This window comes from Homo sapiens, chromosome 11, assembly GCF_000001405.40.
Source record: "Homo sapiens chromosome 11, GRCh38.p14 Primary Assembly".
NCBI classification, from domain to species: Eukaryota; Metazoa; Chordata; class Mammalia; order Primates; family Hominidae; genus Homo; species Homo sapiens.
The window spans coordinates 132,946,015-132,959,737 of NC_000011.10; the positions used below are offsets into that span (position 1 = coordinate 132,946,015).

The following is a 13,723-nucleotide window of genomic DNA, read 5'->3' on the forward strand; positions in this document are numbered from 1 at the left end:
CTCATGATCCACCCGCCTCGGCCTCCCAAAGTGCTGGGATTACAGGTGTGAGCCACTGCGCCCGGCCTACTTTTTAAATTTTGTTTGCTAAAAACTAAGACACAAATACACACATTAGCCTAGGCCTACATGGAGTCAGGATGATCAGTATCAGTGTCTTCTGCCTCCACATTTCCTCACACTGGAAGAGCTTCAGGAGCAATAACATGCACGGAGCTGTCATCTCCTATGATGGCAATGCCTTCTTCTAAATCCCTCCTGAAGGACCTGCCTGTGGCTGTTTTACAATCACCTTTTTAAAATAAGTAGCAGGAGCATACTGTAAAGATAAAAAGTATAGTATAGTAAACATAAAAACTAGTAACATAGTCGTTTATATTGTTATCAAGTATTATGTACTGTACATATTTACATGTGCTAGACTTTCATGGGACCGGCAGCATAGTAGGGTTTGTTTACACCAGCATCACCACCAACACCTGAGTAACACTTTGAGCTAAGACATTAAGATGGCTACAGTGTCACTGGAGGATGAGAAGTTTTTAGTTCCACTGTAATCTTTTCTATACCACTGTCATATATGCGGCCTGTCATTGACAGAGCATTGTTACACAGTGATCCACTGGGTTAGGTCCTTTCCAGAAAGCAGGTATGACAAAGGCAGCAGTGGGGTCCAGGTCTCATCCATAAGCTCCCGAGGTACAAGGCTTTGGGGAGTTGTGATGCAGAGAGGAGAGGCTGGGGGCTCAGGGAGCAGCCCCACAACCTATTTTGGGATTTCCTACTAGCTTTCATGACACATGTCTTTTCTCAAGACTTGAGTGAACCCGGGTTTCCTGATTGACATTGTACTTCAACCTCTCAACTCTGAGTTCTAGTCTAGTATCACCAGACGGGAAAGGCTCTTTTTCATACTTTAATTTGTGTAAAGCTGAGAACCTGAGGCCGGGCTTATGATTTTCTTCAGTTGCAGAGTTTGGAGCTTGAACACAGGTGGGTGGCAGCCGTGGAGTTGGGTCAGGCTGCCCCTCAAGGCTCGCAGCTCTGCCACTTGGTTGTAGGGCATTCAGATCCCTTCCTCTCTCCTGGACCTGCTGGTTCTATTGCTTCTCAAGAGACAAAAATGGAGCAGTTGCTAAATCAACTCATAAAAGATTGCTTGAGACAGGAAGAGTTATTAAGGAAAAAGAGAAAGGCTAGGACAGCATGAGGTTCCCGATAGGAAAAGAATGGCTGAGGCAAGTAAAGAAGAGCAGCAGAGATGGGCAGAAGCGAGGTGTAAATTTTCTTAACAATATATAATAAGTCTTGCTCTTGCAAAGAAATAAACCAAGTATCCCATTTTGTTGCACAGCTGGCTCCCCTGAAATAAGGTATCTGGAGTCCTAAGGAAGAGGGCCTGTGTCTATTTCCTTCTGTAACAGCATTTCCTAGCTCAATATTTCTGAGTGAATAAACGGGCTCAACTCATGGGCTAGCAGATCAGAGAAATGACTGCAAAGGTCTCATTTAATGTTAATCTCTGTGAGCCTACAGTTGTGTGGGAGAGACTTCATTCCTCTGTAGGACACTGCTGTGGACTAGTCTGTGCATTTATAGAATATAAGGCTGAGACCAAATTGAAATTAGAAACAGAAAATGAGCTGAGGTTCACAATGAACAAGGACTAAGTAGTTTATGTCAGAACTTTTCTAGGAAATGCTTGGCTGAGTATCATGACACGGTGGCCCCTAGTGAAACCCTCTTAGATATGTGGAAACATATATAAAGACAAATTAACATCATGACTAAGAGTATCCCTTATCAGAAATGCTTGAGACCAGAAGTGTTTCAGATTTTGAATTATTTTAAATTTTGGAGTCTTTGCATTATACCTACTGTTGAGTATCCCAAATCTGGACATCTCAAATTCAATATGCTCCAGTGAGCATTTCCTTTGAGCACCATGTCTGTCCTCAAAAAGTTTCAGCTTTTGGATTTGGGATGCTCAACCTATACTACTTTTGAAGTTATATTGTCTGTTCAGATGCTGACTTGTCATCTCTCTAGCTGCCTGGCTGGTACCCAGGAATACCTATCCCACCTATGTTATAGGGTTTGAGGTTTCTTGAAATGTACCGGGCATGTTTTAAAATCAAGGCTGGTAAGAAGACAGACACAGAGACGACTGCCTTGAAAGATGAGTTTATTCCTTACAGTTCCCAAGAGGAGGGGCACACCGTGCCATGCTGGACCACATGGGGAGGCACCAGGGTTGGTCAGGAGGCAGAAGGAGTGAGAGGAAGGCCTAGCACATGGTCTTTATTGTGATTTCCATGGGAATAAATAGGGGAGGCAAGGTAGGCAAACTTCAGCAAGCTTAGGATTGTAAAGTTTGAATATTTCTGGCAGGCTCTGTGTTACGGCAGTGGGGGTGGTTCTAGTGGTTCTGTACCTGGCCCTGGGGTGATCTAGGGCAAGGGCAATATTGATTTGGTGTGTGAGCATTAGATAAAAGAAATGTGTGGGGTATGGGTTTTGGATGGATTGGTTTTCTCATAAAGGGCAGGCTCACAGGCAAGTTTTTTATCATCTCTAGGAATTAGCTAGCCCTAGGAGGGACAGTCTTTCCAGAATTAGCAAGACCTAGGATATCAAAGCATCATAAAATACAGAACATAAAAACCATAATTAATATAAGGGACAATTAATGACATAATGCATGCAACATTTCACCAAATTACTTGGCACACTGGAAAATTTAATAATCATGAATTATCGTTATGTAGCCAAACTCCCATTTTCACATGATAACGATTTGTGACATAAAAAAAGATGGGAGTGAAAGGTTATAAATGCCCTATGTACAAACTAGAGATTCTACTCAGACCTACAGAAGTCTCGTTTATGACAATTTGTAACAGAAAATGCAAAGTTGTATCCCGATTACAGGGCTGTAATGATCACAAGAGAGACCACTGGCTAGCCAGAGAAAAGTAATTATGAACAAGCTTGAGAATAGGAATCCTTGCCAGAGGGAACTTTCTCAGGTAGGAGAAAGAGCTGCAAAGAAGGCAAAGAGTTGTAAAGAACCCTAGGGATTTCCAGGTCAGTATTCAGGTGACTCTAGCAACTTGAAACTGACAGGTAGTATCTGCAACCTGGAGAAGATAGAATGCCCCAGAGAAGCTACATGAAACGTAAGGCGACCCACCTGGGAAAAACACCTGTAAAAAGTCTAATCACATTATTGCATTTCAAACTGGCTTAAGTAAGACTGTAGGCCTATAATATTCCTATGTATATGTGGACTGTGTCTGGTGATGGAACGTAGCTCGTGACACTGAAGAGATGCATCCTGTAAGAAGCAGCTGAACAATGGTGCACACAACTCAGGAACCCACAATTACGGAGAAAGACAAAGGGGAGGTGGGCCTTGTTGGGCAGCAACTTCTGTTCAGAACCTAAACTGAGCTGCCTGCTGAGTACTGCTGCTGCTTTGGGTATGGATGGATACTTCCAACCAGTATCCTGGGCTGTGAAAACTCTCTTGCTTGTGGCAGGACATTATCTGCCTTATAGTCTTTGACGGATCAGTCTCACACAGAGGGTGATAACCAAGACTAACAGTCAAAGAAAGAAACCAATTTAAAAATGACAAAAAATGTAACACGATTTTTACTTATTCATTTATGAATTTATTTACTAATTCTGTAAATATGTATGACACACCTATTTTATGTTGGACACTGTTCTAGGGACTGAAGATGCAGTCATTAATGAGATCAGCTTTATTACATGCTTTTCTGCACGGGTGTGTAAGCAGTGTTGAAGGAGGGGGAAAAAGACCATAAAAAGTAAACAGATGCAAATATTTAGATTGTGCTACAAGCTATACATTAAGAAAAGGTGTGATGATGTTGGAAGAGCGAAAAATCAAATAGCCAGGGGAAGCCTCTCTGAAGAGGGAGCATTTGACCTGAGTCCTGACTGATCGGCTGAGTGAAGGTTGGAGCTGAGCAAACAAACACCATAGAGGCATATGGCAGAGGTAGCCCGCTAGCCCCAGCAGCAGATGAAGGTGCAGCCGCGCTGGGCCTTGAAGGTCACAGTAACTGTTTTGGAATTGGCTCTAAGGGCAGTGCGATAACGTTGGAGACATTGCAGTGGAAAAGAGACGGGTTGTGATTGAAAAGTTTTGCACATCACTTTGACCGCTGTGTAGAGGACTAGATTGCAGGGGTACAGAGTAGAAGCAGAGGGCAAGACAGGAGCAGCAGAGGCCAGAAACGATGGCAATGAAGACAGAGAATGATGGAGAGGTGAGGGGTGCATTCCTGAAGAATAGTAGTTAGGACTTCCTGAGATTGGGGATTGAGAAAAAGAGAGCGATTGAGGAAGATTTGGGTAACTAGCTGCATTTTACAACTACCTGTAATGAGGATGATGCCAGAAGGAATGGGTTTAAGGAGGCAGGAATTGAAGAATGAATAAAGAGTTCTGATTAAGTTGTGAAGCTATCACCTCTATGAGACAGTCAAATGGAGACATCAGGACGACAGTGGGAGAAAGATTTGAAGCTTAGCATGGAGGACTGAGGGTGATGCTACTGTCTCATTGAAAGCTTGCTTTCCTAATTATCATAAAAAATAGTGGTAAAGCTCTGCTGTGTGCATTTTTGGAAGGGGGCATATTATCCATGGAACCCTCAATCTGGATCTAGAGGCTCCTCTGCCTTTGTTCATAATTTGGAAATAGGTGCCTTCAGCCAACCCCGTGAGATGTAACCTATTTCACTCCATTTAGTTGTCTCTTAATATATCTCCTCTACTTGGTCACAACTCATCTTTTGAGAGTAGTCTCTAACATTGTTTGGAGATGAGGCCATGAAGTTATCACTGTTTTTAAGAAAACAGGAAAACGCTGCTCACTGACCCTCAATGTGAGTCGAAGGACCTGGGTTTAAGACCTCGGCCTGTTTTGACTTCCCTGCTGTGATCACCTGCTGTGATCTAGGTGGACTGTGTGCCTGCGCTCTAGAGTGCAGCAGGGAAGACTGGAGCAAACACAGGGCAGTCGGGCGTCAGTCCAAGCCCCACCTCTGCAGCTCACTCTGTGGGACTTTACACAAGCTCCTTACATTCACTCATCTTACAGCTGCCACCTCTGTAAATGGAGACCACCGTAGCAATGAATCTGTAGAGTACTTGTGAGTGTATGTCTCAGTCAGCTCAGGCTGCCATAACAAAATACTGCAGACTAGGTGGCCTCACAGGAATCGGTTTTCTCACAGTGGCACAGCCTGCAAGTCTGAGATCAGGGTGCCAGCGTGAACATGCTCCGACGAGGGCTCTCTTTCTGGCTTGAGACAGCTACCTTCTCGCTCTGTGCTCACGTGGGGAAGAAAACTCTCTCTGTTCTTAGAAGGCCACCAATTCTAAGGGATTAGGGCCCCATCCTTCTGACCCCTTTAACTTTAATCACCTCCTAAAAGCCCTATCTCTAAGTAGAGTCACATTGGTGCTCAGAATTTCAACATACGAATTTTGGGGGCCATGATTCAGCCGACATCAGTGTTAAGTGAAATACTGCATGTAAAATAATTGGCATCATGCCTGGCACTCCCTAAGTCCATAATAAATGCTAGTTATTACTGCCTACAGAAAGAGGCCTAATTCCCCATTGTCACAAGTTTCTTCTCTGAAGTATCTCTGTGGGCAGATAAGCTGTACAGAGCAAGACACAAAAATTCCCAAGGCGTCCAAAGGCTTTTTTTCTGTGTGTGTATATAATAAAAGAAACAGGACAGGTTTTTCTCTGAGTTTGAAGAAGAGGCCACTTTAGAATTAGAAGTTGCCTAAAAATGAAAAGGCTTCTGTGGTTATTAATAAGCTTTTATTTTGCCCTGGAGGGGCTGTCCAGATGAGGATGGCTACTGGGGAATCTGGGATCACACAGAAATATCTGCATTTATCTAATAAAATTTGTATTCAGTTATAAAAGCAATTTCAAACTGTTATTCATAAATAAGGAAGACTTACAGCTTGTGTTTATCTGAGAGAAGATTGTACCCAGCTGTTCCATGTGTATATTAGGGAGAAATATAAAGTGAGAAGCCTGGGTTTGATGCGTATTTGTATGACAGAAACCAACCTAAGTCAGTGTGGACCCAGTGGAGTGGAGTGGCCGAGAAGACATGGTGGCTTAGCTTGAAGAAGGTGGCTCTCTGGGGCCCTCTGGTCATGGAGCTTTAGTGAACTCAAAATGTGTTGTGGTGAACAGAGTGGTAAGAATTGACTGGGGCTTCCGTTTTTAGGCTAAGAAAGTCACCAGAAAGGGAATTACATACCACAGAACACAACACTTTGGATGAGACACAAGTACTGTCCTCTAAAAAACCCAAACCAATCCCTATATGATAGCTGCTTGCACAATTAATGCAGGAAATCCATGTGGAACCTCGCTTCTCATTCTTGTTTGCACACTTCCAAAACTTATGCAAATACACATTCATTGGTTTTCCTAGTCAGCTGCTAACCTAAGGGCAGAATTCAGGACCCTTAAATCCCAACCTGCTTCTCTTTTCTATCACAGACCACATCACATCCTTTTCAACCTAGAATGCATCTGCCTGGACTGATGGAAGGAACCAACATTGTGCGTGAATTAAAATGCCTGGCTTCCAATCCCAGCTCTGCTACTTCCAAGCAGGGCGATCCTCTGAGTTTGTGTACCCTCCTCTGTGAGCGGCGTGCATGAGAGCTTCCTCACAGGATGGCTGTGAGCGCGGTGATGCATGGGAAAGTGCCCTTCCCAGAGCCTGGCACGATGGCAGCTCTCCATGATGGGGGATAGTCAATTCCTTTTTTCCATCCTTAATGCCAGAATGATGAAGTAGGCAAAACCAAAGCAAACAAAACAACAAAAATAACCAAGAAGACAAACAAAAGTAACATGACAACAAAAAAACTTTAAAATAAACAAGCCAACCTAAGGCATGTAAGATTTACACTGTAAAAAGTTATCTATGAGGTTCCCCAAGGCTTAGAGAGTGATCTATTGAGAACTTTAGAATCTAAGGAGTATAACATCAGCCCCTAGCCTACTCTTTTTCCTTCCAAGTTTCTGTGTGTATTGCATGCATGTAACTTCTCTGTCTCTCATTAGAATTGCAAGGTCCCCGAGAACAGAGTTTTTATTTTGCTCATCCCTGATTCCTCTGCTACAGACCAGGGCCCAGTACAGAGTAAGTACTCACCAAATATTTGCTGCACGAGAGAACTGATGTCCACTCTCCACAGTCTGCAGAAACTCCGTGAAGCTGTCAGCCAAAGATCCAATGCCATTCCCACTAAGGAACTCTCTTAGTATCCTTCTCCTTCCCTCCCTGGACCCCAAAGCCTCAACTGTGGGGAAGCATGGGCATCAACTACATTAAAGCATTTCATTCTAGAAAGGCTGGAGACCCCTATAAAGGGACCGATTTCCGCAAGCCATACGATAAAATCAGCCTCATTGCTTTATAGTCACACCTCATATAGTTCTATAAATCCAATAACAAAAACCATTATATTGAGACCTACAAGCCATAAAATGTGTTTTTTAAATGTTCAGTACCATTATTACAGTCTTACCCCTCCCTGGTCTCACTATAGTATCTAACAGAATGACCATGACAGGTGGAAAATGGATCCTTCCTCCCCAGAGAACCCAGAGTGTGGAGGAGAGAATGCCGCTGGAGGTAGGTTTGCCAGGCTCTAAATCTGGACCTGCCCCCTGAGAGCTGGGGGTCCCCAGCAATGGACCAAGCTTCTCTGAGCCCAGGATTCCTCCTTGGTTGCATGGGAAAAACAACATTTTTTTATTTAAAGAACGAGCAAAATGTATGTAAGGTGGCTTGCAGAGAGCTTGGCATATAGGTGGTACTCCATGACTGGCTGCTCCTTACGGGGCTGTACCCACTTCCTGCTAAAATGAATCTGATTTTCTGGGTCTTAGAGAGGAGCTAGAACTTGTGTTTTGTATAACATGTCAGTTACTTGAAATCATATCTCTCTTGCCAAACTTTTTTTATATTGTTCATTTATTTTGTTAACTAATTCACTACTTCATTCAAACATTCTTTCTTGGGTTTTTTGTTTGTTTTTTTGTTTGTTTTGTTTTTTGTTTGTTTTGGTGGGAGGACCAATGTTCATTGACCATCTAGGCATTTTGCTTGGCCTGGAAATCCAAAGAACATGGTGTGTTACCTGCCCTCAAGGAGTTTATAGTCTAGTAGAAGAAATAAATCAGGTGTCATAGTATGGTATGAGAAGATTAAAAATATGTACAGCATGCTACAGGATCTCAAAATGAGGCCATTAAAATTAGATCGGGTTCTTGGAAAGCTGCTCAAAGGAAAAGACCCCTCAAAGGAAAAGTTCACTTTTAAGTGAACTTTTTTAAAGACTCAAAGGAAAAGTTCACTTTTAAGGACTGGGTATGACTGACTGCCATGTGGCTTCTGATTTTGGCAGATGAGTGAACAGCGTTGCCAGTCCCAGAGACATAGTAAGAATAGTTGATACTGAGTAGAGGGCAGGGCGTTAAACATTGAACTTGAGGGGCTGGTGAAACATCCAAGTAAAACTACGCTGTTGGCATTTGGATATTTCGGTGTTGAGCCTGAGCAAGAGACAATGTTTACAGTCATAGATTTTGGAATCATCTTTGCATACATGGGAGCTGAAGCCCTGGGTACTAATGAAGTCACTGAGCAAGAGCAGGAGTGAGAAGAAATGTGGCATTAAGTGTGAATTCTGAGCAACGCAAACACATGGGGTAAGATGAAAAAGGGCTCATGAGGAAGCCTGAGGAATGGCCAAAAAAATAGAAGGAAACTCAGGATCGGTGCCCACACAGAAATCAGGGAGGAGACCTTTAAGAAGAAAAGAGTGGCTAGCGGCATCCACTACGAGAGACTTCAGGCTAGCAGAGGATGGACAACCATGCTTTTGATCTGCCACAGTGGAGGGCACTGATGAATTTTGCAGAAGGTGTTTTGCTGCTGAGGCAGCAGAAGTGAGGCAGTGGTGAGCTGAGGAATGAGTGGAACCCCAGGTGTGGAGAAAACAAATGCGGTCCAGGGTGTCGAGCTTAGCTGTGAAAACATGCTGGACGGAGATGGGGATCTGGGGGAGGTTGGCACGGTTTTGTCTTATTTCATCTTCAGCATGAGAGTCCTGAATATTTTTTTAATGTGTCTGAAGGTGAAGAGCTCCTTCAAGGTGTTGTACAGCTGCCTGTGTTCATCACAGCATTTCGTACACTGTTGATGATTAATAAACATATACAGGATGAATTGTTTCAGGTCAAAACACTTCCCTCTCTGGACCCATTCAGATGCAGACCAACCAACCAATATTTAAAAAATAGTGACAGTTGTCATTGTCATCATCATCATCATCCTACCAGCAGCCCAGACACTAGAACATACACCTGACAGATGCTATCTAATGTAATCCTGTTAACACCTCTATAAGGAAGGTATTATTTGATAAAGCAATATATAGAGAAGAAAGATTACTCCTAGTCATTTCTAGAAGTGCAAGGTAGAAAATGCTGAATCTGGCTGGGCGCGGTGGCTCATGCCTGTAATCCCAGCACTTTGGGAGGTTGAGGCAGGCGGATCATGAGGTCAGGAGTTCGAGACCATCCTGACCAACATGGTGAAACCCCACCTCAACTAAAAATACAAAAATTAGCAGGGAATGGTGGTGTGTGCCTGTAATCCCAGCTGCTCAGGAGGCCAAGGCAGGAGAATCGCTTGAACCCGGGGAGGCAGAGGTTGCAGTGAGCCGAGATCGCACCATTGCACTCCAGCCTGGATGACAGAGCAAGACACCATCTCAAAAACAAAACAAAGAAAATGCTGAACCTTTTCCTATTTCCCTCAACATTCATTGCTGTATTACCAGCACCCAGAATAATTCCTGGCATATAGTAGGTTTCCAATCAATATTTATTCAATTAATAATAAAAATAATTATGTATCTCTAACCCATACCCTCCAGTCTCACAGATATCATAGCTATTCAAGATTCATGTGCCAAATATTAAATAATCAAAGATATTTGTCCACATTTGGACACTGGATTTTATCAGTGGCAAATTAGCTAAAGGTGGAGAACAAGAATTAGAGTGATTCAGTTTGTTTTGTGCCCATACACTACTGATGTTGGAACACACTATTTACATGGCAAGAAGTTAATCACGGTGGAAAAGCAGGTAGCCGTACCACGTGGCTAACAAGCAATGAAGATCAGCTTCAGGTATTAGGATTCTAATCAATAAAACAGAGCCAGATTCATCAGAAACATTGCTTGTGATTTACATAATTATTGTGATATATTGTAACTCAGCTTAGAGAGCAAGCTTCTCATAACGTATGTTTACATGATAGTGCCCCGCCTTTATTCACAGACACACTCTCAGGGTCTCTCATATGCTCTTGTGTTCTGGGCATGCTTGACACAGCATTTTTATTGTAGGTTTTGACCAAAACCTCAAACATTTTGGTAGAAACCCACAATAAATTGGGTTTTGACCAAATTGGATTGGACAGTTTCTAAAATTCTGCTGGGCTGTATGCATCCTCACCACCACCACACTTATGTTAGACAACAGTATCTTGGATCTGTCTCTGACTAGCCTCTTTTCGTCCACTAATGCCCCATACCCACTCCTTAACCCAGCACTGACATTGTATTCTGTATTCGACCCTAAAAGCTTTCTTCTCCTCCCAGCAACTCTAGTTTCCTGTCTTGGCTGGATGGAATCAGTTTTACAAAGATAGAGTCAGGGAAAAATAAAACAAGGCCAGGCATGGTGGCTCACAGCTATAATCCCAGCACTTTGGGAGGCCAAGGTGGGAGGGTTGCTTGAAGCCAAGAGTTCAAGGCCAGCCTGGGCAACATAGCAAGATCCTATCTCTACGAAAATTTTAAAAAACAGGCAGATGTGCTGCCTCATGCCTCTAGTCCAAGATACTTAACAGGCTGAGGTGGGAGGATCACTTGAGTCCAGGAGTTTGAGGCTGCAGTGAGCTATGATCATGCCACTGTATTCCAGTCTGGGCAACAAAGCAAGACCTTGTCTCAAACCAAAACCAAAACCAAAACAAAACAGTCCCTCTGGGTCATGAGGCTCAAAATTTCCCATGATGGCAGGAAATGCAGTTCAGAAGACTGGGAAGGAAGGAGACGGAGAATCCATTGCTCATCCTCCTTCCTTCCACCTCCAGGCATTAGAAAGTCTCCAGAAAATGGGTGTGAAGAAAATGGCAAAGAGGAAGCAAAAGAAAAGGAAAGAAAGGGGCAGGGGCATAACACGGGAGAGAAGCAGGATGGGGTCTGACTGTCTCACATAATCAGAGTTCTCCAGGGAAACACAACCAAGGGGAGATTTTACAGAGATGGATCCCAAGACAGAGGTAGAGATAAATAAATGTATATACTTAAATATATATTTATTTATAAATAAACAAACACACATACATATATATTGTGTGTACAGGCACACCTTGTTTTATTGTGCTTTGCTTCATTGTGTTTTGCAGATACTGGGTATTTTACAAATTGAAGGTTTGTGGCAACCCTGCATCAAGCAAGTCTATCGGCACCATTTTTTCCAGCAACATGTACTCACTCTGTCTCTGTGCCACATTTTGGTAACTATTGCAATATTTCAAACTTTCTCATTATATCTAGTAGTGATCAGTAATCTTTGATGTTACTATTTTAATTGTTTTGGGGCAGCACGAGCTATGCTCATGTAAGACAGGAAACTTAATCGATAAATGTGTGTGTTCTGACTGCTCTACCAACCAACCATTCTCCAGTCTCTCTCCTTCTCCTCAGGCCTCCCTGTTCCCTGAGACACAAAAATATTTAAATTAGGCCAATTAATAACCCTACAAAGGCCTCTAAGTGTTCAAATGAAAGGAAGAGTTGCACATTCCTCGCTTCAAATAAAACTCTGGAAATGATTAAGCTTAATGAAGAAGACAGGTTGAAAGCCAAGATAGGCTGAAAACTAAATCTCTTGCACCAAAGAGTTAGTCAAGTTAGGAATGCAAAGGAAAATTCCTGAAGGAAATTAAAAGTGCCACTCCAGTGAACACACAAATGATAAGAAAGCAAAACAGTCTTGTTGCTGACACAGAGAAGGTTTTGGTGGTCTTGATAGAAAGTCAAACCAGCCACAACATTCTATTAAGCCAAAGCCTAATCCAGAGCGAGGTTGTAACTCTCTTCAATTCTATGAAGGCTGAGACAGGTAAGGAAGCTGCAGAAGAAATGTTTGAAGCTAGCAGAGGTTAGTTGATGAGGTTTAAGGAAAGAAACCATTTTTATAACATAGAAGTACAAGATGAAGCAGCAGGTGCTTATGTAGAAGCTGCAGCAAGTAATCCAGAAGATTTAGCTAAGATCATTGATGAAGGTGGCTACACTCAACAGCAGATCTTCAGTGTAGCTGAAGCAACCCTGTGTTGGAAGAAGGTGCCATCTGGGACTTTCATAGCTACAGAGGGGAAGTCAATGTCTGGCTTCAAAGCTTAAGGACAGGCTGACTCTCCGGTTAGGAGCTAATACAGCTGTTGACTTTAAGTGAAAACCAATACTCATTTATCATTCTGAAAATCCTAGGGCCCTTAAGAATCATGCCAAATCTACTCTTCCTGTGCTCCATAAATGGAACAACAGAGCCTGGATGACAGCATAACTGTTTACAGCAGGGTTTACTGAATATTTTAAGCTCACTATTAAGACCTACTTCTCAGGAAAAAAAGATACCTTTCCAAATATCACTGCCCATTGACAATTCACCTAGTTACCCAAAAGCTCCAATGAAGATATACAGAGAGATGAATGTTGTTTTCATGCCTGCTAACACAACCTCCGTTCCGTAGCCCATGAATCAAAAACAAATTTCAACTTTCAAATTTTATTATTCAAGAGATACATTTGTAAGGCTATGGCTGCCATAAATAGTGATTCTTCTGATGGATCTGGCCAAAGTAAACCAAAAACCTTCTGGAAAAGATTCACCATGCTAAATGCCATTAAGAACACTTGTGATTCATGGAAGGAGGTCAAAGTATCCACATTAACAGGAGCTTAGAAGACGTTGATTCCAAGCCTCATGGATGACTTTGAGGGGTTCAAGATTTCAGTGGAGGAAGTAACTGCAGATGTGGTGGAAATAGCAAGAGAACTAGAACTACAAGTGGAGACTAAAGATGTGACAGTCTCACAATAAACTTGAATGGATGAGGAGCTGCTTCTCTTGGATGAGCAAAGGAAGTGGTTTCTTGAGATGGAAACTACCCTCGGTGAAGATGCTGTGAACATTGTTGAAATGACAACAAGGGAGTCAGAATATCCCATGAACTTAGCTGATAAAGCAGCGGCGGGATTTGAGAGGACTGTCTCCAATTATGAAAGAAGTTCTACTGTGGGTAAAATGCTATCAAACAGCATCGCTTGCTACAGAGCAATCTTTCGGGAAGGGAAGAGTGGGGCACAGTGCAAGGGATTAGATGGCACAGAGAGTGGAAAAGAAAGTGGAATGCAGAGAGGCCAAAAATAGCTCTGTAAGCATCCTAGTGGTTCACAGCGTTTCCATTTACCTACATTGACTTCGGGAAAATATCAGGATCTACACACAATACAATACTACTATACACAGGCTCAGATTTAGAAGT

General features: G+C 42.7%; 1 protein-coding gene across 4 annotated transcripts in view; it reads right to left on the reverse strand.

Moving 5' to 3' along the window:
- The window catches only part of OPCML (opioid binding protein/cell adhesion molecule like), a 1,117,521-nt gene that overhangs the window by 531,034 nt on the left and 572,764 nt on the right, over positions 1 to 13,723 (reverse strand). The window lies entirely within an intron of this gene.